At 34.4% G+C, this 24,828-nt stretch overlaps 1 protein-coding gene across 21 annotated transcripts in view; it reads right to left on the reverse strand.

Moving 5' to 3' along the window:
• TBCK (TBC1 domain containing kinase) overlaps nucleotides 1-24,828 on the reverse strand; it is a 275,085-nt gene that overhangs the window by 115,248 nt on the left and 135,009 nt on the right. For 16 of the 21 annotated variants that reach the window (NM_001163436.4, NM_033115.5, NM_001163437.3 and 13 more), the window contains one exon: nucleotides 14,249-14,424. In NM_001163436.4, the coding sequence (NP_001156908.2) occupies nucleotides 14,249-14,424 (176 nt within the window). Of the gene's footprint in view, nucleotides 1-5,011; nucleotides 6,781-7,545; nucleotides 7,616-14,248; nucleotides 14,425-24,828 lie in introns of those variants that run through there. The other 5 variants (XR_007057984.1, XR_938800.4, XR_007057983.1 and 2 more) reach the window with 3 other exon arrangements.

The following is a 24,828-nucleotide window of genomic DNA, read 5'->3' on the forward strand; positions in this document are numbered from 1 at the left end:
TACTCTACTTCCCTGTGGCTGAGTTGGTACCTAAGGTGTAAGACAAAGCTCCCTTACTTTTCCCTCTAATGTTCTCAATCATAGTCTCTCCCCATAGCCATCATAGCTAGTAATGTGCTGAGTTTCACCTGAAGCCAGCAAGTCTCAGAGTGGCATACTACCTGGGTATTTCTACTGGTTATTCAGGGCCCAAGGGCACTTTATTCAGTAGTTGATGGGTCCTGCCAGGACTGAGTCCTTCCCTTCAAGGCAGCAGGTTCCCTTCTGGCCCAGGGTGTGTCTAGAAATGTCTGGGAGCTAGGTCCTGGAAAGGGGGATTCATGACTCTGACTGGTATTCTATCCTACTGTGGATGAGCTGGTTTCCAAGATGTAAGACAGAGACCTCTTTATTCTTCTCCCTCCTCTCCTTAAGTGGAAAGAAGGTGTCTTTTTTGGAGCCCCATGCTGTGCAGCCTGGGTTTGGGGTAGGGGTGGTGCAAGTACTCTCTTAGCCACTCTGGCTGTGTCTCAACAGGTTACGTGCCTCCTTAGTCCACTCACTTTAATCTAAGTTAAGCACTAGGACTCCCCAAGAGTTGCAGTCCTTGTGGCCTACACTGCCTTTGAAGTTTATTTAGAGCCCCAGAACACTTTAGCCCAGGGTGATAAGGCTTGCCAGAACTGAAGTTTGGACCACTGGGATGGGCAATTCCCCTCTGGCTAGAGTTGGTTTAAATATCTTCTCTGAGGGTGGGCATTAGCTAAGTGCAGCCTGGTTTTGCATTCTGCTGTAACAGGATATCACTGAGTTCAATGCAATGTCACAATTCCTGCTGGGGGGTGGGCAAGGGGTGGTATTGGTGATTCAAGACTGTTTCTACCCTCCTCAGTGCCTTTTTCAGTGACATGAAGTTAAAACCAGGTACTGTGAGTGCTCATCTAGTTTTTGGTTCTTATGAAGGTGCTTTGCTTGTGTAGACAGTTGTTAAATTGGTGTCTGTGCAGAAGACATGCTCGGTGAAGACTTCAATTTGGCCATCTTACTTTGCCCCCTCCCTATCATTTCATTTAAGAATCTATGATACAGTTCTTGATCTTTAGGAATTTATGTTAAAAGAGAAGATGAAGGCAGACATAGAGGCCTTAAAGCAGAAGTATGTATAGGGTATACCTAAAACTGAACGAAATCTAATTTCTGTGCTACAGCATAGAAAAATTAGAGGGAACAATACTGACAGAAAATCTTGGTAAAGTTGTCAAGGGAAATATTACATTGGGACTTTTAGACCATGTTAGAAGTTTGAATTTTATTGTCAGTATAATAATAAGAGTCTTGGTAAACATTTTGATTAAAAAAGATTATGGTAGCTGAAGTCTGAAAAATGGATTAAAGATAAATGAGAATGGATGCAGAGAGACCAGTCAGAAAATTGTACAACAGGCCGGGCGTGGTGGCTCATGCCCATAATCCCAGCACTTTGGGAGGTTGTGGATCACCTGAGGTCAGGAGTTCGAGACCAGCCTGGCCAACATGGTAAAACCCTGCTTCTACTAAAAATACAAAATTAGCCGGGTGTGGTAGCACATGCCTGTAATCATGGTGAACATGAGTAAAATATTGTCAGCAGAATTGGAGAGAAGTATACAGATTAATAAACAAAAGTTTTTGATTGACTAAATTTGGAAGGTAAGGCAGGAGTCAAAAATGAAGCTACTAACCTAAATGAAGTAGTTAAGTTCTTAGAAACACAAAGCTTACCAAGACTAAAATCAGAAAGAGTTAAAAAATCTAACTAGATCTAGTACTAGCAGGGAAATTGAATCAGTAATAAAAAATCTCCTAAGAAAGAAAAGTCCTAGATCTGATGGCTTAACTGGTGAATTCTACCAAATATCTAAAGAACACAAATCCTTCTCAAACTTTTCTAAAAAGCTGAAGAGGGTGGAATACTTCCTAACTCATTGTGTAAGCCCAGCATTACCCTGATTCCAAAGCCATACAAAGACACTGCAAAAACGGAATACTAAAGACAAATGTCCCTTAAGAATATTGAAACAACAATCTTCAACAAAATAGTAGCAAACTGAATTCAAAAGCATATTAAAATTATACAGCATGATCAATTGGGATTTATTCCTAGAATGCAAGGATGTTTCGCCACAGGAAAATCAATCCATATGATACATTACATTAACAGAATGGAGAGAAAAAAAAAAAACAACCACATGATCATCTAAATTGATACCAAAAAAAGAACAAAATCAAACTGTTTCATGATAAAAACATTTAATAACTAGGAATAGAAGGAAACTTCCTCAACACAATAAAAGTCATATATGAAAAACCCACAGAAAACATGCTCAATGGTGAAAGGCTGAGAGCTTTTCCTCTGACATAATGAATAAACAAGGATGCCTGCTTTTGGGATGTATTTTCAACATAGTACTGGAAGTCCTAGCTGGAGAAATTAGGCAAGAAAAAGAAAAGCCATCCACTGAAAAGTAAGAAGTAAATAATCTGTTTGCAGATGATGTGATCTTATATCTAAAAAATACCCTAAACATTACACAAAACACTGTTAGAACTAATAATGGAATTCAACAAAGTAGCAGGATACAGAAAAAAATAGACAAAAATCAGTTGTATTTCTATATACTAACAATGAACAATCAGAAAAGGAATTAATGAAGACAATTTGATTTACAATAGCATCAAAAGGAATAAAATACTTAGGAATTAACCAGGGAGGTGAAAGACTTGTGCAATGAAAACAACAAAAGAATGCTGAAAGAAATTTAGAAAGACATAAATAAATGAAAACACAAGCCACGTTTATGGATTGAAAGATATAATATTGTTAAGATATCAATATTACTCAAAGCCACCTACAGATTCAACACATTCTTATCAAAGTATCAATGATGTTTTTAGCAGAAATAGAAAGACCTATCCCAAAATTCATATGGAATCTCAAGAGACCTAAAATAGACAAAACAATCTTGAAAAGAAAGAACAAAGCCAGAAGACTCAGACTTCCTGATTGCAAAATTTATTTCAAAACTATTGTAATAAAACAGTATGATACTGGCATAAAGGCAGACAGACATATAGACCAACAGACTAGAGCTAGAAATAAACCCTCCTATATATGGTCAAATAAGTTCTGAGAAGGGTAGCTAAGACCATTCAGTGGGGTAAAGAACAGTCTTTTCAGCAGATGTTTCTGGAAAAACTGTATATCTCCATGCAAAAGAATGAAGCTGAACTCTCACCTAATAACATATACAAAAATTAAATCAAAATAAATCAAAGACTTAAATGTATGGCCAAAAACTTTAAGACTCTTAGAAGAAAACATAGGGCAAAAGCTTCATGATACTGGAGTTGGCACTTGATTTCTAGGAGATGACACCAAAGCCCTAGGTGACAGAGAAAAAACAGTCAAATTGAACTTTGTGAAATAAAATATTTTGTGCATCAAAAGACACTCAACAGAGTAAAATGGCAACCTACAGAATGAAATATTTGCAAATCATATATTTAATATGAGAATAATATTGAGAATATATAGAGAACTCCTAAAACTCAACAAAAAAAGAAACAACTCAAAAGACCTTGAATAGGGCATTTCTCCAGAGAAGATATACAAATGGCTAAGAAGTACATGAAAAGATGCTCACTATCACTAATCATCAGGGAAATATAAATCAAAACTACAATGAGATTCCACTGCACATTTATTATTCAAAAAAAAGAAGAAAAAAAGAAAAAAAATCAAAATAGAAAAGTGTTCGCAAGTTTGAGAAGAAACTGAAACCAACCCTTGCACACTGTTGGTAAAAATGTAAACTGATACAGCTGCTGTAGAAAACAGTATGGCAGTTCCTCAAAAAACTAAAGATAGATAACATATGATCCTGAAATTCCACTTTTGGATATATGCCAAAAGGAACTGAAACCAGAATCTTGAAGAGATATTTATACACCCATGTTCATAGCAGCATTGTTTACAATCGCTAAAATGTGGGAGTAACCCAAGTGTCTACTGATGAATGAATGGATAAACAAAATGTGGTATATATACAAAATAGGTATTATTTAGCCTTAAGAAGAAAAAAAAAATCTGACCAAAACTATATGATTCCAACTCTATGAGGTACTTAGAGTAGTCAAAATCATAGAGACAGAAGTAGAATTGTGGTTGTGGAGAGGAGGGGAGAATAAGGAATTACAATGGAATGGGTACAGAGGTGCAGTTTTACAAGATGAAAAGAGTTATGGAGATAGATGGTGGTGATGGTTGCACAACATTATGAATGTATTTAATACCACTAACTGTACACTTAAAATGGTTAAGGTGGTAAATTTTACGTTGTGTGTATTTTTATCACAATAAAAAAATTAGAAAAGATCCCTACAAATACAAATAAATGCATATATATTTAACTTAAAAGGGTTTGTACATATTCAGAAACCTATATAAACTATATTAGAGCAACCAGTATTAGAATTCACGGAGAACAAGCTAAAAACACAAAGGCTCAGGGCCTATCTTTTAAACAAGAGGGGCCTCATTTTTTCTTAGCTTTCCTGGAGAGGATAATATACATCAACATTTGCAAACCACTGTTTTATAAATGATTGTGCAGAGAGACCAAGGAGTGAGGGTCAGGGCAGAAAGAAAGAAGTAAAAGGAAATAGGAGAAAGTGTCTGACCCAGTCCAATAATTGTAATGTGTTGTAAACTAAGGAGACATTATTAGCTCAGCTATTTGCATTTGAGATATACAAATAATATTAAGTATTACTACCATGATAACATTTCTGTACCAAGGAATGGTTTGCAGCTTGTTAACCAGAATTAGGTGTGTCTGTGTGTGTGTGTGTGTGTGTGTGTGTGTATGTGTGTATGTAAGAAGACTTTCAAGACATATTGCTAAGCAAAAAAAGAGAGAAGTTTGGGCTGGAGCTAATAACCGGAAGCCATGGTAACTGTAGGATGCAAGTATGAAACATGAAACAACACAAATGCTATGATTCCATTTATTTAAAAGTTAGATTACATGTTTCCATCCCAGCCACTCCCAAATCTCATGTCCTCACATTTCAAACCACAGTTATGCCTTTTCTACAGTCTCCCAAAGCCTTATTTCAGGGTTAACTCAAAAGTCCACAGTCCAAAGTCTCATCTGAGACAAAGCAGTCTCTTCTACCTACGAGACTGTAAAATCAAAAGCAAGTTAGTTACTTCCTAGATACAATGGGGGTACAGGCAATAGAAAAATATACCCATTCCAATTGGGAGAAATTGGCCAAAACAACAGGGCTACAGGCCTCATGCAAGTCCAAAATTCAGCAGGGCAGCCAGATCTTAAAGCTCCAAAATGATCTCCCTTGACTTCATGTCACACATCCAGGTCATGCTGATGCAAGAGATGGGCACCCATGGCCTTGGGCAGCCCCGCCTCTGTGGCTTTGCAAGATATAGCCCCACTTTCCACTGCTTTCATAGGATGGTGTTGACTGTCTGCAGCTTTTCCAGATGCATAGTGCAAGCTGTTGGTGGATCTACCATTCTGGGGTCTGGAGGATGGTGGCCCTCTTCTCACTGCTCCACTAGGCAGTGCCCCAGTGGGGACTCTGTGTGGGAGTTCTGACCCAACATTTCCCTTCTGCACTGCCTTAGCAGAGGTTCTCTGTTAGGGCTCTGCCTCTCCAGCAAAATTCTGCCTGGATATCCAGGCATTTCCATACATCCTCCGAAATCTAGGTGGAGGTTCTCAAACCTCGATTTTTGACTTCTATGCACCAACAGGCCAAACACCATGTGGGAAACTGCAAGGCTTAGGGTTTACACCCTTAGAAGCAAGGGTCTGAGCTGTGCCTTGGCCTCTTTCAGCCACAGCTGAAGCTGAAGTCACTGGGACACAGGCGAACATGTTCTGACACTGCACAGAATAGCAGCAGCCTAGGAAACCATTTTTCTGTCCTAGGTCTCCAGGCCTATGATGGGAGAGGCTGCTGTGAAGGTCTCTGACATGCCCTGGAGACATTTTCCCCATTGCTTTGGTGATTAGCATTTGGCTCCTCATTACTTATGCAAATGTCTGCAGCTGGCTTGAATTTCTCCCCAGGAAATGGGTTTTTCTTTTCTTCACATTATCAGGCTGCAAATTTTCCAAACTTTTATGGTCTGCTTCCTCTTGGACACTTTGCCACTTGGAAATTTCTTCTGCCAGATACCCTAAATCATCTCTCTCAAGTTCAAAGTTCCACATATTTCCAGGGCAGGGGCAAAATGCTGCCAGTTTCTTTGCTAAAGCATAGCAAGCGTGACCTTTACTCCAGTTCCCAAAAAGTTCCTCATCTCCATCTGAGACCATCTCAGCCTGGACTTCATCATCCATATCACTATCAGCATTTTGGTCAAAGCCATTCAATAAGTCTCTAGGGAGTTCCAAATTTTCCCACATCTGCCTGTCTTCTGAGTATTCCAAGTCTCTAGGAAGCTCCAAATTTTCCCACATTTTCATGTCTTCTTCTGAGCCCTCCAAACTGTTCCAACCTCAGCCTGTTATCCAGTTCCAAAATCACTTCCACATTTTCGGTATCCTTATAGCAGCACCCAACTGTACCAGTACCTATTTAATATATTAGTTTGTTCTCATACTGCTCATAAAGACATACCCCAAACTGGGTAATTTATAAAGGAAAGAGGTTTCACAGTTCAGCAATGCTTGGCAGGCTTCAGGAAACTTACAATCATGGTAGAATGGGAAGCAAACATGTCCTTCTTTACTTGGTGGCAAGAAAGAGAATGAGAGCCAAGCAAAGGAGAAAGTCCATTAGAAAATCAACAGATCTTATGAGAACTCACTCACTATTATGAGAACAGTATAGGGGAAATTGCCCCTATTATTCAATTACTCCACCTGGTCCTGTCCTTGACACATGGGAATTACTACAATTCAAGATCAGACTTTGGGTGGGAACACAGTCAAACCATATCAATCTCTGTCTGGGAATTTGTTTGCCTTTCTTCTTCTCTACACTTGGAATATAGAAAGAAAAATTCATATTTTAATCCAGGAAATCAAGGTCTTTTGATATCCTATCCCCAAATCCAACTATCCCTTATTTTCTTATGTTGGATTATTATTATTATTTGCTTATTTTTTGGGCCAATGGTAGAATAAGATTATACATTACTATGGAAAAACAAATTTCAAAAGATATGATTTTCTATAAAATGTCTTCTACTTAACTTCTAGAGGGCTGATACATTTTACCCCTACATGTAGCTGCCAGGGTTTCTAGTCTTCATCTTTCACTAAAATTGTGCCTATCATAATAGCTCTAAAATTGCCTACAGAACATTAGATAATGGCAGAAGAATTGAACCAGTAAAAAGAACAGATGCAAAGCTAACCTTTTTGTTTTCAATGCATCTATTGCTCTAAATAATTTCAGCAGACAGTGTTTAGTTCTCCTTTAGGTTAACATTTTACCCTCAATATGTTAGCAAAAAAAAGGATACATAATTGTACTTTTCCTTATACTTACTGTAAAAAGATTTCTTCTTATTTAAGAGTAGGTATGCAGATGATTGCATGAGTATATGTTAATGTATTTTCTAGAGAAATAGAGAAAAATTAAAAAATGCTTGAAAAGCCAAGTGTACAGTAGGATATGATATATATTAATATATATGTTTCAATAAATAAGAGTGAAAAACACATTTACAGTACTGATAAAATGGCAATTTATAAGTTAACTTGTATTAAGTAAGGTTTCTGAGTCTCTTTACCTCTAAAATGGGGATCAAACATCTCAGAGATTTGTTTAGGGGGAGATAAAAATAATGTATCTGGGTACCTGAAAATCATAAAGCACTGTGGTGTTATTTTTAAACTGTTCATAATCTAAAAAGTAGTGTTGTTATTATTGAGATGAAACTTTGTAGACTGGCATTTATATTTGAATTTTGGAAACTATTTGAACCAAAAGTATAAAAATGTGCTTTAAATAAGATTTTATCTACAGTAAACTCATGTTTAATCTATACTGAAAGCATACCTTATAAACTGAAGGTAATGCAATAAATGCTATCATTTTTATGGTAATAGTATATACAAGCAGTTAGCATTATGTAAATAAAAAAATTAATTTAATAAAATCTTGGGTTAGTATATGTATTCATAATGAGGTATTCAAAGAACTTAACAATAATTATTGCTCATTTACATACTGCATGTAAGTAATACCAGTCATAAATATGTGATTAAAATTTAACAAAGAAATAGATTTTAAAAAATCAAAGATTAAGTAGAGATTTTCCCAAAATACATTCCGTTCAAAAACATTCAATCTATTAACCAAGATTACATATCTTTACTTATTATTTTCTTCAATTAATAAACTTCAGTCAGAATTCTCAAGCAGTTTTAGCTATTTAAGAGAAAACTGATGGGAAAGACTTTGGCACTAGATGAAATAATTATTTTGGCAATTCTTTAGTTTAGGGATGAAAATAGTATTAAGACTAAGAAGTAAAGGTCAAAGTGAAATTTTAAACTGAATTTACTGAGGTAAAACTGCCAGAAAGATTCCTTCTTTGAAAAGCCAGCCTCCCTAATCCTTACTCTCCACACTGTTTTTATAGTGGTTTCTAAATGTAAAGTGATAGTAATGAGCTAACATAGCTGAGGAAAAACAGAATACTAGAACATCATGTCCTTTGTACAGATTATTTAGATATAGAAGACTGTCATAAAGTTCTTGGGCAGACTGCAAAGTAAAAAAAATTAACTGTTAATTACTAAACTTGTAATAATGATTTTTTACTCTTTTGGAGTGCTTATTATGTACTAGACACTGAATTAGGAGCTTTACGTATATCATTATTAAAGTAACCCTGCCAGGGTGGTATTATTTTAAGTATGCTAATGATTACAAATAGGGAACTAGAGAGGTTATGTGAATTATTCAAGATTATATGAAGAAAAAGGAACAGGCTTGAAATTTGAAACCAAGTCCATCTAACAGCAAAGCTCATGCTTTTTCTATTATAAAACTCTGCTTCAGGGAATAAATACAATAGATGCATGCAGAAATGAAAGTAAAATTGATTTTTCTTCTAATATCCACTTTTAACCTTCCATTCTACTAGTAATAGAGTACAATTTATCTCAGTTTATAAAAGCCGCTTTTAAAATCTGTTTTTGACTCAGACATAAGAATATATAATATGAACCTGAATTCTGATTATGCTAATTTTAATAAATATTCTTTTTACAGCATGCATACATTATTTTTGTATCTGCTTTCTATTATACTAATATATTTGAACCTTCAAATAAACAATATTAAAAATGTAGACATTTCAGATAAAAAAGAACAAAAATCAAAAATATTTTATGTACAGAATTCTATAAACATAAAAAATTAAACAAAATAGGTACTTTTAGAAAAAATTTTGAGAAAATAAACATGTTAACTAAATAGAAATACTTTTCAAACAACATGAACTTACAGAAGTGGTTTTTCAGACAAGTTTCCTCAATTTATGTAAAAGAGGTAATTCCTTTTATAGAAAATGATTAAATAGCAGACAGGAGAAATAAATAAAATTTAAAAAATAATTTCAACTTTTATTTTAGATTTAGGAGTACATGTGCAGGTTTGTCACAAGGGTATATTGTATGATGCTGAGGTTTAGGGTGATTCCTGTCAGCCAGGTAGTGACCACAGTACCCAATAGGTAATATAATCTTAAGACCAAAGCCTGACAAGGACAAAAAGCAAAAGAAAATTATAGACTTATCTAATCTATAAACATAGGTGCATAAATTTTTTTAAAAACTAGCAAATCAAATATAGCCAGTATGTCTTTTTGTTAGTGACCAAGTAGACTTTATCTCAGGAATGTAATGACCATTAAATATAAGAAACTGTAATAATATAATACATTATCACAATAAAAGATGAAATAATCCCAAATTAATACAAAATAAGCATTTGATAAAATTTAACATTCATGATAAACACTCAAATACAGAAAAGATGGTACAATAATTGTCTCAATAAAGAGTATAAAAAACGTCAAACTTAAATGATGAAATTAGAAGCATTTTCATTAAACTCGGGAACAAGTAAGTCTACCTACTCTTAAACTAGAGGTTCTGTCCAAAGCAATAGACAATAAACAATTGGAAACATAATAACTTGAAAGAAAGAGATAAACTTATTCATATATATAGGGGTGTGTGTGTGTGTATTATATACACACTGTATATATATATATAGAGAGAGAGAGAGAGAACTATATATATAGAACTGTATATATAGAACTGTATATATATATATAGAACTGTATATATATATATTTATATATATATACAATTGGTTGAATTCGCTACAAGCTATTAGTCTTAGAGAATCAATACCAACATACTTAGACACGAAACAGAACACCTTTAATTAACACATAGGTCAAAATATTAACTAAATGGAAATGAAAACACAACATCAAAATTGGTGGAATGCATCAAAAACAATGCTCAGAGGAAAATGTACAGCTTTGAATGTATATATTAGAAATAAGGGAAGTTCTAAAATCAATGATCTAAGCTTCCACCTTAGAAAACTAGAAAAAGAACAGCAAATTAAGTTCAAAGTGAGTAGAAGAAAAATAAAAATCAGAGCAGAAATCAATGAAATTGAAAACAGTAAATCAAAGAGATCAATGACACCAAAAGCTGGCTCCTTGCAAAGATGAATAAAATCAATAAGCCTTTAACCAGCTAAGAAAAAAAAGATTATTCAAATTACAAATAGCAGAAATGAAAGAGATCTCAGTACAGATCCCATAGACAATAAAATGATAACAAAGGAATACTATGAACCATTCTATGCCCATAAATTTGATAGCCTGGATAAAATGGCTTGAAAGACACAATATGACAAAACTTATATGAGAAGAATTAGATAATCTGAATAGGCCTGCATCTATTAAAGAAATTCAATCAATAATTAAGAACATTTCCAAACAGAAAGTATCAGACCCAGATGAATTCACTGGTAAATTCTATTAAAGACTGAAGGAAGAAATTATGCCAACTGTCTACAATTTCTTTGAGAGGACAGAAGCAAAACGAATATGTCCTAACTCATTCTATGAGGCCAGTATTACCCTAAATACTAAAACTAGACAAAGACATTACAAGAAAACAGTATCTCTCATGAACATAGATACCAAAATCCTCAACAAAATATTATCAAAGTCAAATCCAACAATGTATAAAACAAATTATATACCATGAACAAGTAGAATTTATCCCAGGCATGCAAGGCTGTTTTAACATATGAAAATTAATTAATGTAATTCTTGCACCAACAAGCTAAAGAAGAAAATTCACATGATCATACAAATAGATACAGGAAACACATTCTACAAAATCCAACATGCATTCATGATAAAAAATCTCTCAGCAAATTGGGAATAAAAGAGACCTTACTCAACTTGTAAAAAACATCTACAAAAACCTACAGCTCACACAATACTTTCTGGTGACACCCTAGAAGCCTTCCTGCTAAGATCAGGAACAAGGTAAGGATGTCCTCTCACCATTTCTTTTTAACATTATATTAGATGTTGTATCTAATGCAATAACACAAACAAAGAAAATAAGAGGTGTACTAATTGGCAAGGAAGAAATAAAACTGTCCATTTTTCAAATAATGTGATCATATATGTAGAAAATCTGAAGGAACTGAGCAAAAAACTGGAGCTAATAAGTAACTACAGCAAGGTAGCAGGACTCGAAGTTAATATAAAAGGTCAAACGCTTTCCTGTATACCTGCAATGTACAAATGGAATTTGAAATAAAAAATAATACCACTTACATCAGCATTCCTCAAAATCAAATACTTAGATATAAGTCTAACTATATATATATAAGATCTAAATGAGAAAAACTATAAAAATCTGATGAAAGAAATCCAACAACTAGATAAATGAAAAAATATTCCATTTCCTGGATAGGAGACTCAATAAAGGTTGAATATCTCTAGTTCCAAAATCCATAATCCAAAATGTTCCAAAATCGGAAACATTCTGAGTACCAAGATGATAGTCAAAGGAAATGCTCATTGGAGCAATCTGGATTTTGTATTTTTGGATTAGGAATGCTCAATCAGTAAGTATAATGCAAATATTCCAAAATCAGAACAAATAAAATATCTGAAGCACTTTTGGTCCCAAGCATCTTTGAAAAGAGACAATCAACCTGTATTGTCAACAGTTCTTCCCAAATTGATATGTAGATTCAATGTAATCCCAATCAAAATAGCAGCAAGTTATTTTGTAGGTATCAACAAACTAATTTTAAAGTTTATTTGGAAACAAAGACTCAGAATAACCAACACAGTATTAAAAAGAACAGTTGGAGGACTGACACTTCTGAGCTTCAAGACAAATTATAAATCAAAACAGCATAGTATTGGCAAAAGAACAGACAAACATCAATGAAAAAGAATAGAGAGTTCAGAAATCAACCCACATAAATACAACCAACTAATCTGTGAAAGGAACAAAGGCAATAAAATGGAAAAGTCAGTCTTTTTAACAAATGTTTTTCTGCTATAAAGAGGATATAATTCAAAATTTGAAACAAAGAAACTATTAAATAAGTTTGTATTTAGAACTGCTGAATTTCAAAGTTTCAAGCTATCTTACAGGTCATCTAGAACAGTGTTCCTCAACTTTTTTGGCACCAAGGACTGTCTTCATGGAAGACAATTTTTCCATGGACCCAGGGTGTGGCAGATGGTTTTGGGATAATTCAAGCATATTACATTTATTGTGTACTTTATTTCTATTATTATTACATCATAATATATAATGAAATAATTACATGACTCTTCATAATGTACAATCAGTGGGAGCCCTGAGCTTGTTTTCCTGCTACTTAATGGTCCCATCTGGGGATAATGGGAGATAGTGACAGATCATCAGGCATTAGATTCTCATAAGGAATATGCAACCTAGATCCCTCACATGCGCAGTTCACAAGAGGATTTGTGCTCCTATGAGACTGTAATGCTGCTGCTAATCTGACAGGAAGCAGCGCTCAGGTGGTAATGCAAGTAAGGGAGCAGTGGCCGTAAATACAGATAAAGCTTTGCTGGTGTGCCTGCCATTCACCTCCTGCTGTATGGCCTGGTTCCTGTGACTGGTACCAGTCTGTGGCCTGGGGGTTGGGGATCCCTGATCTAGAACAACATTTACCATTTACTGACAAATTAGTTCTCTCACCAAAATTCATTACATGGAAATATCTTCAGCTGAATATTTCTAGTATTTGAGAACTTACTTTCTTCCAGGCAGGCAGAAGACAACTACTACTTTTGGAAAACTATAATGCAAATATTTATTTATAAGTGTGGGTTCTTATTCTTTTCTCTCTCAGGATATTTTAGAAATATCTTATAATCTTTCATATATATATTCATTTAGCTGTTTCCCTCTCTATCATCTGTATATCTAGAGGCAGAGATTGTAATTATTGAAATTGCTCTGTATTCAATCATAAGCAGGGTCATGTTTATAAGTGACCTTAATATAATTTGATTGTGATGGAAATATATGAACAAATGAATGTACCCATATATTTGGGGACATAAATAAAATCATAGAAAGTGCCATATCTGAAAAGCAATACATACATATTAACAGAAATTCAATTTCGTGGAAATAATTATGATACTATGATAATATTAGAATATTCGAAATGTATGAATTATTATAACTGAAAGCTTTGTTGACCATATTTATAAACTGTGTTTAGTAAGAATGATAATGTTGAAACACCTACATGGCATAGTTTTACAAATGCTGTTTCTTCTGTCAACCAACAATAAGTTCCTGCTCTATTAACAACTCTTTTTCTATTTTTTTAATTCTTTCTTTGCTTCTGTAATCTCTCACTATATAACCAATTGATATATAAACAGATACTACAAATGCATACAAAAAAAGCAAAACTTGCTACCTGGAGGAGTACGTCAAAATAATCTTCCTAACTCTATAACCAAATAGATATAATGGTTTTCTGGAATATTTCTATGAATCAAATCATGTGTTAGAAAATATCTACATTAAAAGGACATAAATGACACCATTAAGAACAATAAAGATACTAGGGTATATTAATTTTAACATCCATCTCCTTTTAGAGTTTGTAAACTAAATCCGCAAATACATACCAGATCTGTCTTTGGAGGATCTGGACACTCAGCAGAGAAATAAGGTGCCGAACTTCTGCCTCCACTGCTGTCAGAAGATGGCTTTGGAGGTTGAGCATGCTGTCTGTAAGTAGCACTTTTAGGAGTCCAACAAAACAGGTTGATAGATTCTCTCACACAGCGTTCAATGTCAATTTCTAGATAGAAATGTTTTAAAAAAGCAAATGTATAGAATTTAGATTGCTCTTTTAATGTAATAAACACCATCTCTCCTAAGTGAATATATCTAAATATGGCTAAGATGATAAGTTATTAGAAAAAATGTCAGTAAAAAAAACAATGTATATATTAATCAGCATATTTATGACTGGATTGATGGAAATATTTGGTATAATTTGCTTATATATATTTGTAAATGTATCTACTTATGTTTTCATGTGTGTCTTTTACTTGGAATTATCTACATATACATATGTATATATTTCAGAGTATCATTATTTAAATGCCACAGAATAGAACACATCTCCTTATTTAAAAATCTGCCAAATTTATGCTGATGTTTCCACTTTTCCAATGTGAAACAAAAGTTATAGGGGGAGAATACAATTTGGGAATAGGTAGACAAAAGATTTAGAAGATGTTGATTGCTGATTCAGAATGAATTCTAGTAAAGTGAACTGACAGTTTTACTGCCATTAAATAAGATATAAAATTATCAGAAAAAATTTTTCAGAATCTCAATTCAGCATTTCTCAATTTTTTTTTTCCTGTTTTTGAGATAGAGTCTTGTTCTGTCTCCTAGGCTGGAGTGCAGTGGTGCAATCACGGCTCACTGCAACCTTGGCCTCCCAGGTTCAAGCAATTCTCGTGCCTCAGCCTTCCTAGAAGCTGGGATTACAGGCCTATGCCACAACACCCGGCTAATTTTTTGTATTTTTAGTAGACATGGGGTTTCGCCATGTTGCCCAGGCTGTTCTTGAATTCCTGACCTCAGGCAATCCACCTGCCTCGGCCTCCCAAAATTCTAGGGTTACAGGGATCATCCACCATGCCCAACTAGCATTTCTCCATTCTTTAATAATCTCTTGAGTTAAATGAAGAAAGGTTTTAAAGTTTAATCAAGTAAGGTTTAAATGCACTTGACTAAAAGATAAAATAGAAACACTTTCATATTAGATTTCCTTTTGTTTCTCATGTTTGAAATGTAAGCATCTTTAATGCAGAGGTAATATACATAGAAAGGTTACTACAACTCTATATTGTTTGTGTTTTGGATGAGACTGTATCTCTTTAGGAGGCCAACAGTCCTGATGAGAAGTTAGCCAGTCCTCTATGGCGAAAGTAGAAAGATCACAGAAAGGCGGAGAAATTCAAGAAGTTGACTGTGATGGAGTTTAGCACTGACTAGTTTTTATCTTTCCATATTTCTAAAAGTACAAATGGCATATATTCTCATTTCCTCTGTAAAAGTCCAAGTGTCGGGCTCAGGCAGGCAATGGAGAAAAATATATTACATGTCAGAAAGTGGTAAGTTCTTTTTTTCTCCCCCTCTTTTTGAAATGAAGGGCTTGTAAGGGGAAAAGGAAATAGGCATTAAGTAAATTCTGTGGATAGTGCATGAGTAATCATTTAGAGTTATCTGCTGTGGTAAGGTGAAGAAATCTGGAAGAGGGAAAAAGAAGGTAACACTGACCATCTATTATGTGACAGGTATTGTATACTTTCACTTAATCCATTTAATTCTTACAATGATTTTATTAAAGACAGGTATCGTAATTCTTCTTCCCACCTTCTATTTCTGCTAAAGACAAAGAAACTAAGACACAAGGAAGTTAAGTGATTTGTTAAGTATGTTACTATGAGTAGAAGTCTGAAGTTACTATAAGGTTATAAGGCATCTTTTGTTACTTCCTAACTTAGATTTGGAATATGAAAAGATAGTCTGATAAGACCAGTTACTCAATTAGGCATTCCTTAGTGATGTTTACCAACTTCACAGCTCATTACTTCCATGGCTACAAAAAGAGGTCAGATTTCATCACCTCATATGCTATTCCTAATATAAAAACTATAAAACAGAGTGAAACAAGCTTTGAGGCATGGGCCTATTTATTTGGGCAATGGATAATATAGTGAAGCTCTCTAACAATATCAACTTGTTATTTCACAAAGAAAATACAAACACAAACTAGAAGAAAAATCAAGGTTTAAGACAGGTTTCTCTAGCCTGTTTAAGAAAAAAGAGATAGCACAATTCATTTTAGAAAACTTTCAATTCAAATAGTTAAGATAAAAATTTGGCAGCTAATGAGAGAAAATACTCAACCATCTAAAGTCTGTCTACTTAACACAGTTTAGTTTCCAAAGGAAAGGGTTTCAGTCCATAGATTTTGTATTTGCAGGGCTCAAATCAATTTGACACATCTGTCACCAGCAAAGTTTGAAGGTGAGTCAGTGATCTAGAGTAAAGGTTGTAGTGCAGTCCTTCAATCACTGGCATTGGAAAAGTTATTTTTATCTGCTTCCAAGACATCCCATCAACACCATAAAAGGTTTACAGTGAATCTTGATGATGTACTGGCATCCATCCCGATTCTACCCTGATGGTTAGTTCTAACAGATATCTCATTTTCCATTTCACTTGACTCATGTCACCTCTCATCTCAAAACCCTTCCAAAGCACATTATCATAATCAAAATATAATGCAAAAGTACTTTGTGAAGTGTACATTAAAATGCACAATTACTCCTACAAAGTAATCTCTCATTACATGGCACTACTGTTTTTTAACCTTGCATTATAATTATTGAGACAATGCATTGTGAATAAAACATGGATTATGGTTTCCCAGGTTTGAATTAAAGCTCCATGAGGTATTTTGCAACTCTGGGTAAAATAACTTCTCTAAATCTATTAATTTCTTCATTGGCACCCATTAGTATTAGATCTTTCAGAAATACTGAACTATTTTCAATATGATAAACACAACCATTTGGGCAAGGATAGATGGAAAAGACAGCTTTCCTGAGCCTGCTCTTCTCTCACTTTAATGGCTATAAATTCCTTCTGAAATTTATTGCATAGCTATTGTCCTGGAACTTCTCTTTACCATTATCCAATTCTCTTAGGCTATCCCCTATATTTGATTCCTAACTTTTTGGGTAAGACATTATTTACCACTCTTTCATATTTACTTCTCATTTTGATGAAACACATTATCCAGCAGCTACAAAGAAAGAGTACACAGGAGGTAAACTATTCAAAAACCTTCAATGAATATCATTAATCTGCCCTTGACTGATAGTTTGACCAGATACAGCATTCTAGGGTTGAATTTTTTTCTTCTGAGTTATTAAAGGTAGAGCTCCAATGTCTGCTGCTGAGAAGTCTGATAAAATTCTGATTTAGGATTATTTGTACATGATTTTCTGTTTCTCTGTTAAGTTTTAGGATCCCTGTATTATGAAATTTCATGGTGATATACTTACGCATATACTTCATTGTGCTGGGCATTTGGTGGATCCCTGAGTAGTCCTTCAGTTACACAAAAAGTATGTTTTTGATGTTTGTGATAATTTGTTTCTTTTTAAATCTTCTATTCTATAAGAATCTTGAACTTCCTGAATTTAATTTCTAATAATTTTGTCATTTTGTTCTTACTTTCCACGTGTATTTTTGTTTCATACTCTGTGAGATTTCCTAAATTTTATCATCTTACATTTTCATCACAAACATCATTGCATTTCTATATCAATTTCAATTTCCAGGCCAGGCACGGTGGCTCATGCCTATAATCCTAGCACTTTGGGAGGCCAAGGTAGGAGGATCACTTGAGGCCAGGAGTTTGAGACCAGCCTGGCCAACATGGTGAAACCCTGTCTCTACTAAACAAAAATACAAAAATTAGCCAAATGTGGTGGAGTGCACCTGTAACCCCAGCTACTTAGGAGGCTGAGACACGAGAATTGCTTGAACCTGGGAGGTGAAGGCTGCAGTGAGCAGTGATCACGCCTGTATCACGCTTGTACTCCAGCCTGGCTACAGAGCAAGACTCTCTCAAAAAAAAAAAAAAGAAAAAAAAATCAATTTCCAGATTTTCAACAATTTTCATTGTTATGTTTAAAAGTTCTGTTTTTTCATAGTTAATTTTCTCATAGTTATCTTTCTGAATAAATTATTTTTTCAGTTTATACTATTCTGTATCTTAATTGGAAGCTTTCCTCAGAGATTTTGTGATCTTTGATTCTACATATTTACAAGAACAGCACCAAAAATCAGATTGAATTTTTTTTTTTTTTTTTTTATGTGGGCTGGGGTTAGTGACTGGTGGATTAACTATAAGGTAATTTGGGGACATGGTTATTTTGTTAGAAGACTCCTAAGTAAGATATTTCTCCTTCTGGGAACATTGAGTTTTTCCAGATAATTCTCTGATCTTCTAAGCTCATCCTTGCCAGCCTTCCCAGATATGACCATAGGAGGGGCCTGTATAACTATATACATTCACTCACTCCTGCTCTCTGCTATGCCTATTGGCTCTGAGTCTCAAGACTCAGTGACTCTACTACTCCAGAGAATGCCTCTCCATATTTACCATTAAAATGGTCACTTTTGTAAAATTTGACAAAGTAAAAATATTTCAACCACAACAATGAAGAATGCTGCCTCTTTCTACACCAAATTCTCTCCATTATACTTCCTTGATATTGGGCAACATTACAATGGCTGTGCATGCTCTACATATAACTAAGAGTAAGCTGAACATATTTACTTTGGTTTAATAGGTCATATTTTTGTTATCTGAAGTAACTTCTGGGTATTGACAAAGATGCTCTCCTTAACCAAAGTCTAGCCAGGCTCCTTAGAGCCCTTTTTTGACTAGGGTCCAAACTTTGCCTATAAAGACTTGAACAAAACATGAAGATGGCTTGGTTTTTCTACTTTACTGTTATTTTTAAATTAATACATAAAATTGTACATAGTTTATGTATTAATTAAATATGGAATACATGTGATATTTTGCTATATGCATACAATGTGTAATGATCAAAACAGGGTAATCAGAACATCTACCAATTCGAATATTTATTTTCTTATGTTGGGAACATTTTAAATCTAGCTATTTTGAAATATATAACAAATTATTGTTAACTATAGTCATCCTACTGTGCTGTCTATTGAACAACAGAGCTTATTCCTTCGGTCTAACTGTATTTTGTATCCATTAACCAACCTCTCTCTTCATCCCCATCCCCCAGCCCATTCTTCTTAGCCTCTAGCAACTATCAATCTACTCTCAACCTCAACTTATTTAGTTTCCCAAGTATGAGTTAGAATATGTGATACTGTGAATATGACATAGTCTTTCTGTGCCTGGCTTATTTCACTTAATGTGATGACCTCCAATTACATCCATGTTGTTGCAAATGACAGGATTTCATTGCCTTTTATCGCTGAATGGTAATTCATTGTGTTTTTATGTACGTTTTCTTTATTCATTCATTCATTGATAGACACTTAAGTTGATTCTGTATGTTGGCTATTGTGAATAGTGCTGCAATAAACATGAGAGTGCAGACATCTCTGCGATATCCTGATTTCCTTTCTTTTGGACATATATCCAGCAGTGGGAATGCTGGATCTTATGGTGCTTCTATTTCTACTTTTTTGAGGAACCTCCATACTGTTTTTCATAGTAGCTATACTAATTTACATTCCCACTAACAGTGTACTAACATCCCACTTTCTGCACCATCTATTATTTTTCTCTTCTTCGTAATAGCCTTTTAAACTTGGATAAAATTTCATTGGGGTTTTGATTTGCATTTCTCTGATAATTAGTGATATTGAGTACTTTTTCATATACTTGTTGGCCATTTTTAAGTGTTTTTTTTTTTTTTAAATACAGGGTCTCACTAAGTTACCCAGGTTAGAGTGTAATGACTACAGACATGATCATAGACTATGACCTACGACAAGCCTGAAACTTCTGGGCTCAAGTGATCTTATATCACAGCATCCTGAATACTTGGGACTACAAGTATACACCATCACATCTGTCTCTATGTCTCCTTTTCAGAAATGTCTATTCAGATCATCTACCCGTTTTTTAAATAGGATTGTTTTTTGGCTATTCATTTGAGTTCTTTATGTACTCTGGCTACTAATCCTTTGTTGGTTGAAGAGTTTGCACATTTCCTCCCATTCTGTAGGTTGTTTCTTCACTCTGTTGATTGTTTCCTTTGCTGTGAAGAATTTTAGCTTGATGTAATTCTATTTGTCTACTTTGGCTTTGGTTGCCTGTGTTTTTGTGGTCTGACCTCAAAAATCCTTGCCTAGTAGATCAATGTTGTGAGACATTTCCACAACGTGGTCTAGTAGTTTCATGTCTTACATTTAAGTCTTTAATAAAGTTTGATTTAATTTTTGCATATGGTGAGAGACAGGGGTCTAGTTTCATTAGTCTGCATATGGAGATACAGTTTTCCCAGCACCATTTATTAAAAAAAACCTGTCTTTTCCCCAATGTATATTGTTGGCACCTGTGTCAAAAGTAAGTTGGCTGTAAATGTGTGAATTTATTTCTGAGTTATCTATTCCATTTCATTGGTCTATGTGCAGGTTTTTATGTCAGTACAATGCTGTTTTGGTTACTACAGCTCTGTAGTATATTTGGGAATTAGTGTGAGGCCTCTAGTTTTCTTCCCTTTACTCAAGATTGCTTTTGCTACTTGGGGTCTTCTGTGGTTCCATAAAAATTTTAGGATTATTTTTTCGAATTCTGTTAAGAGTGTCATTGGTATTTTGATAGAAATTACATTGAACCTGTAGATCACTTTGGGTAGCATGAACATGTTAACATTATTAATTCTTCTAATCTATAAGCACATGATATCTTTTCATTTTTTATTGCCCTCTATAATTTATTTCATTAGTGTTTGTTCTCATTGTGGAGATCTCTCACTTCTTTTGTTAAATTTGTTCCTACATATTTTATTTTATTTGTAGCTATTTCAAGCAGAACTGCTTCCTTGATTTCTTTTTCAGATTGTTCACTGTTGGTTTAAAGAAATGCTACTGATTTTTATATGTTGATTTTGTATCCCAATTTACTGAATTCGCAAATCTGTTCTAACAGTTTTTTGGTGAAGTCTTGAGGGTTTTCCAAATATAAGGTCATGTCATCTGTGAAAAAGAATAATTTGAGTTCTTTCTTTCCAATTGAATGTGTTAATTTTTTTTTCTGTTGCCTAATTGCTCTGTCTAGAATTTCCAGTACTCTGTTGAATAAAAGTAGTGAAAGGAGGCATCTTTTTCTTCTAGATTTTACAAAAAAGCCTGTTGGTTTTTCCCTATTCAGTGTAGTAGCTGTGGGGTTGTCACATATGGCCTTTATTGTTCTGAGGTGTGGTCCTCTTATACCCAGTTCTTTGAGAATTTTTATCATGAAGGAATGTTGAATTTTATCAAATACTTTTCTAGTATCTATTGAAAGAATCATATGGGTTTTGTTCTTGATCCTGTTAAGTGATGTAGCATGTTTATTGATTTGCATATGTTGAATCATCACTGAATTCCTGGGATGAATCCCCCTTGACCATGGTGAATGATTTTTTTAACGTGTTGTTGAATTCAGTTGCTTGTATTTTTGTTGAGAATTTTTCATCTATGTCCATCAGGGATATTGGTATTTAGAATGAGTTTGAAAGTATCCTCTCCTCTTCATTTTTTTTTTAAGAATTTGAGAGAATTTGCATTAGTTCTTTCAGCAACATAGGCATCCACTGCTGGACTTTTCTTTGATGGGAGACTTTTTTATTACAGCTGCTTATCTTGTTATTAATTGTTGATCTGTTCAGGTTTTCTATTTCTTCATGGTTCAATCCTGCTAAGCTGTATGTGTCCAGAAATTTATTCATCTCTTCATGGTTTTCCAACTTGTTAGTGTATAGTTGTTCATAATAGTCTCTAATGATCCTTTGTAATTCTGTAGTATAATTTGTCTGCATTCTGTAGTAAAATGTCTCAGTTTACATAAGATTTTATTTATTTGGGCCTAGTCCCTTTTTTGCTAGTCTAGCTAAAGGATTATTGATTTTGCTAATCTTTTCAAAAACCAACTTTTCCTTTTGTTGATCTTTTGTATTGTTTTCTTAGCCTGAATTTCATTCGTTTTTATTCTGCTCTTTATTATTTTTCCTTCTACCAATGTTTTGTTTGTTCCTGCTTTTCTACTTCCTTGAGGTGCATTGTTAAGTTCTTTATTTGAATTATTTCTACTTTTCTGATGCAGGTGTTTACTGCAATAAACTACCCTCTTAGAACTGTTTTTGCTGTATCCCATATATTTTGGTATATTTCCATTTTCATTTGCACATTTTCTGTTAAATACAGGAATACTATAATTTCCTTTATAATTTCTTCATTGACCCATTTGCTATTCAGAAGCACATCATTTGATTTCCATAAATCTGTAGTTTCTAATGTTCCTTTTCTTAATGATTTCTAATTTTATTCCATTGTGATCTAAAAATAAATTTGATATAATTTTGATTTTTGAAAATTTAAGACTTGTTTCGTGAACACAGGGTCCATCTTGGAGAATGTTCCATGTGCTTTTGAGAAAAATGTGTATTCTGCAGCTGTTGGATGGAACGTTCTGTAAATGTCTGTTAGGTCCATTTGGTCTACAGTACAGTTTAACTCCAGTGTTTCTGTGTTGACTTTCTGTCTGGATGACCTGTGTATTGCTAGAAGTGGGGTGCTGAGTCCCCTTCTATTATAACACTGCACTCAATCTCTCTCTTTAGGTTAATTAATATTTGTTTTATATTCTGATGCTCCAGAGTTGGTTGGGTGTATATATAATTGTTATATCCTCTTGCTATATTGACTTTTATCATCATATAATGGACTTCTTTTGTCTTTTTTAAAACTATTATTGAATTAAAATCTATTTTATCTGATATATGTACAGTTGCTTCAGCTCTCTCTATAGTTTCTGAATCTTCTCTCATCCCTTCACTTTTAGTCTCTGCATGTCTTCAAAGGTAGAGTTTCTTGTAGACAGCATATAGTTGTGTCTTTTTTTTTAAATCAATTCAGCCATTCTAGCTCTTTTTATTGGATAATTAATTTAATTGGATAAATTAAACCTATTTATATTCAAGATTATTAATAATAGGTAAGAATTTGCTACTGTTATTTTATTACTTGCTATTTGCTTGTTTTGTAGACACTTTCTTCCTTTTATCCTCTCTTAAAGTCTTCCTTTGTGGTTAGGTGATTTTCTCTAGTAGTATGTTTTTTTTCCTCCTTCTTTTTATTATACTTTAAGTTCTGGGTTACATGTGCAGAATGTGCAGTTTTGTTACACAGGTATACATGTGCCATGGTGGTCTGCAGCACCCATCAACCCGTCACCTACATTAGGTATTTCTCCTAATGTTATCCTTCCCCTAGCCCCCACCCCGCACAGGCCCCAATGTGTGATGTTCCCCTCTCTGTGTCCATGTGTCCTCATTGTTCAACTCCCACTTACGAGGGGGAACATGCAGTATTTGGTTTTCTATCTTGTGATAATTCGCTGAGAATGATGGTTTCCAGCTTCATCCATGTCCCTGCAAAGGACATGAACTCATCTTTTTTATGGCTGCATAGTATTCCATGGTATATATGTGCCACAATTTCTTAATCCAGTCTATCATTGATGGACATTTGGGTTGGTTCCAAGTCTTTGCTATTGTGAATAGTGCCACAATAAACGTATGTGTGCATGTCTCTTTTTTGTAGAATGATTTATAATTCTTTGGGTATATACCCAGTAATGGGATTACTGGGTCAAATGGTATTTCTAGTTCTAGATCCTTGAGGAATCGCCACAATGGCTGAACTAATTTACACTCCCACCAACAGTGTAAAAGCATTCCTATTTTTCCACAACCTCTCCAGCATCTGTTGTTTCTTGACTTTTTAATGATCACCATTCTAACTGGTGTGAGATGGTCTCATTGTGGTTTTGATTTGCATTTCTCTAATGACCAGTGATGATGAGCATTTTTTCATATGTCTGTTGGCTGCATAAATGTCTTCTTTTGAGAAGTGTCTGTTCATATCCTTTGCCCATTTTTTGATGGGGTTCTTGGCTTTTTTCTTGTAAATTTGTTTAAGTTCTTTATAGATGCTGGATATTAGCCCTTTGTCAGATGGATAGATTGCAAAAATTTTCTCCCATTCTGTAGGTTGCCTGTTCACTCTGATGATAGATTCTTTTGCTGTGCAGAAGCTCTTTAGTTTAATTAGATCCCATTTGTCAATTTTGGCTTTTGTTGCCATTGCTTTTGGTGTTTTAGACATGAAGTCTTTGCCCATGCCTATGTCCTGAATGGTATTGCCCAGGTTTTCTTGTAGGATTTTTATGGTTCTAGGTCTTACGTTTAAGTCTTTGATCCATCTTGAGTTGATTTTTGTATAAGGTGTAAGGACGGGGTCCAGTTTCAGTTTTCTGCATATGGCTAGCCAGTTATCCCAACACCATTTATTAAATAGGGAATCTTTTCCCCATTGCTTGTGTGTGTCAGGTTTGTTAAAGATCAGATGA

The sequence above is a fragment of the Homo sapiens genome, chromosome 4, assembly GCF_000001405.40.
Source record: "Homo sapiens chromosome 4, GRCh38.p14 Primary Assembly".
NCBI lineage: Eukaryota > Metazoa > Chordata > Mammalia > Primates > Hominidae > Homo > Homo sapiens.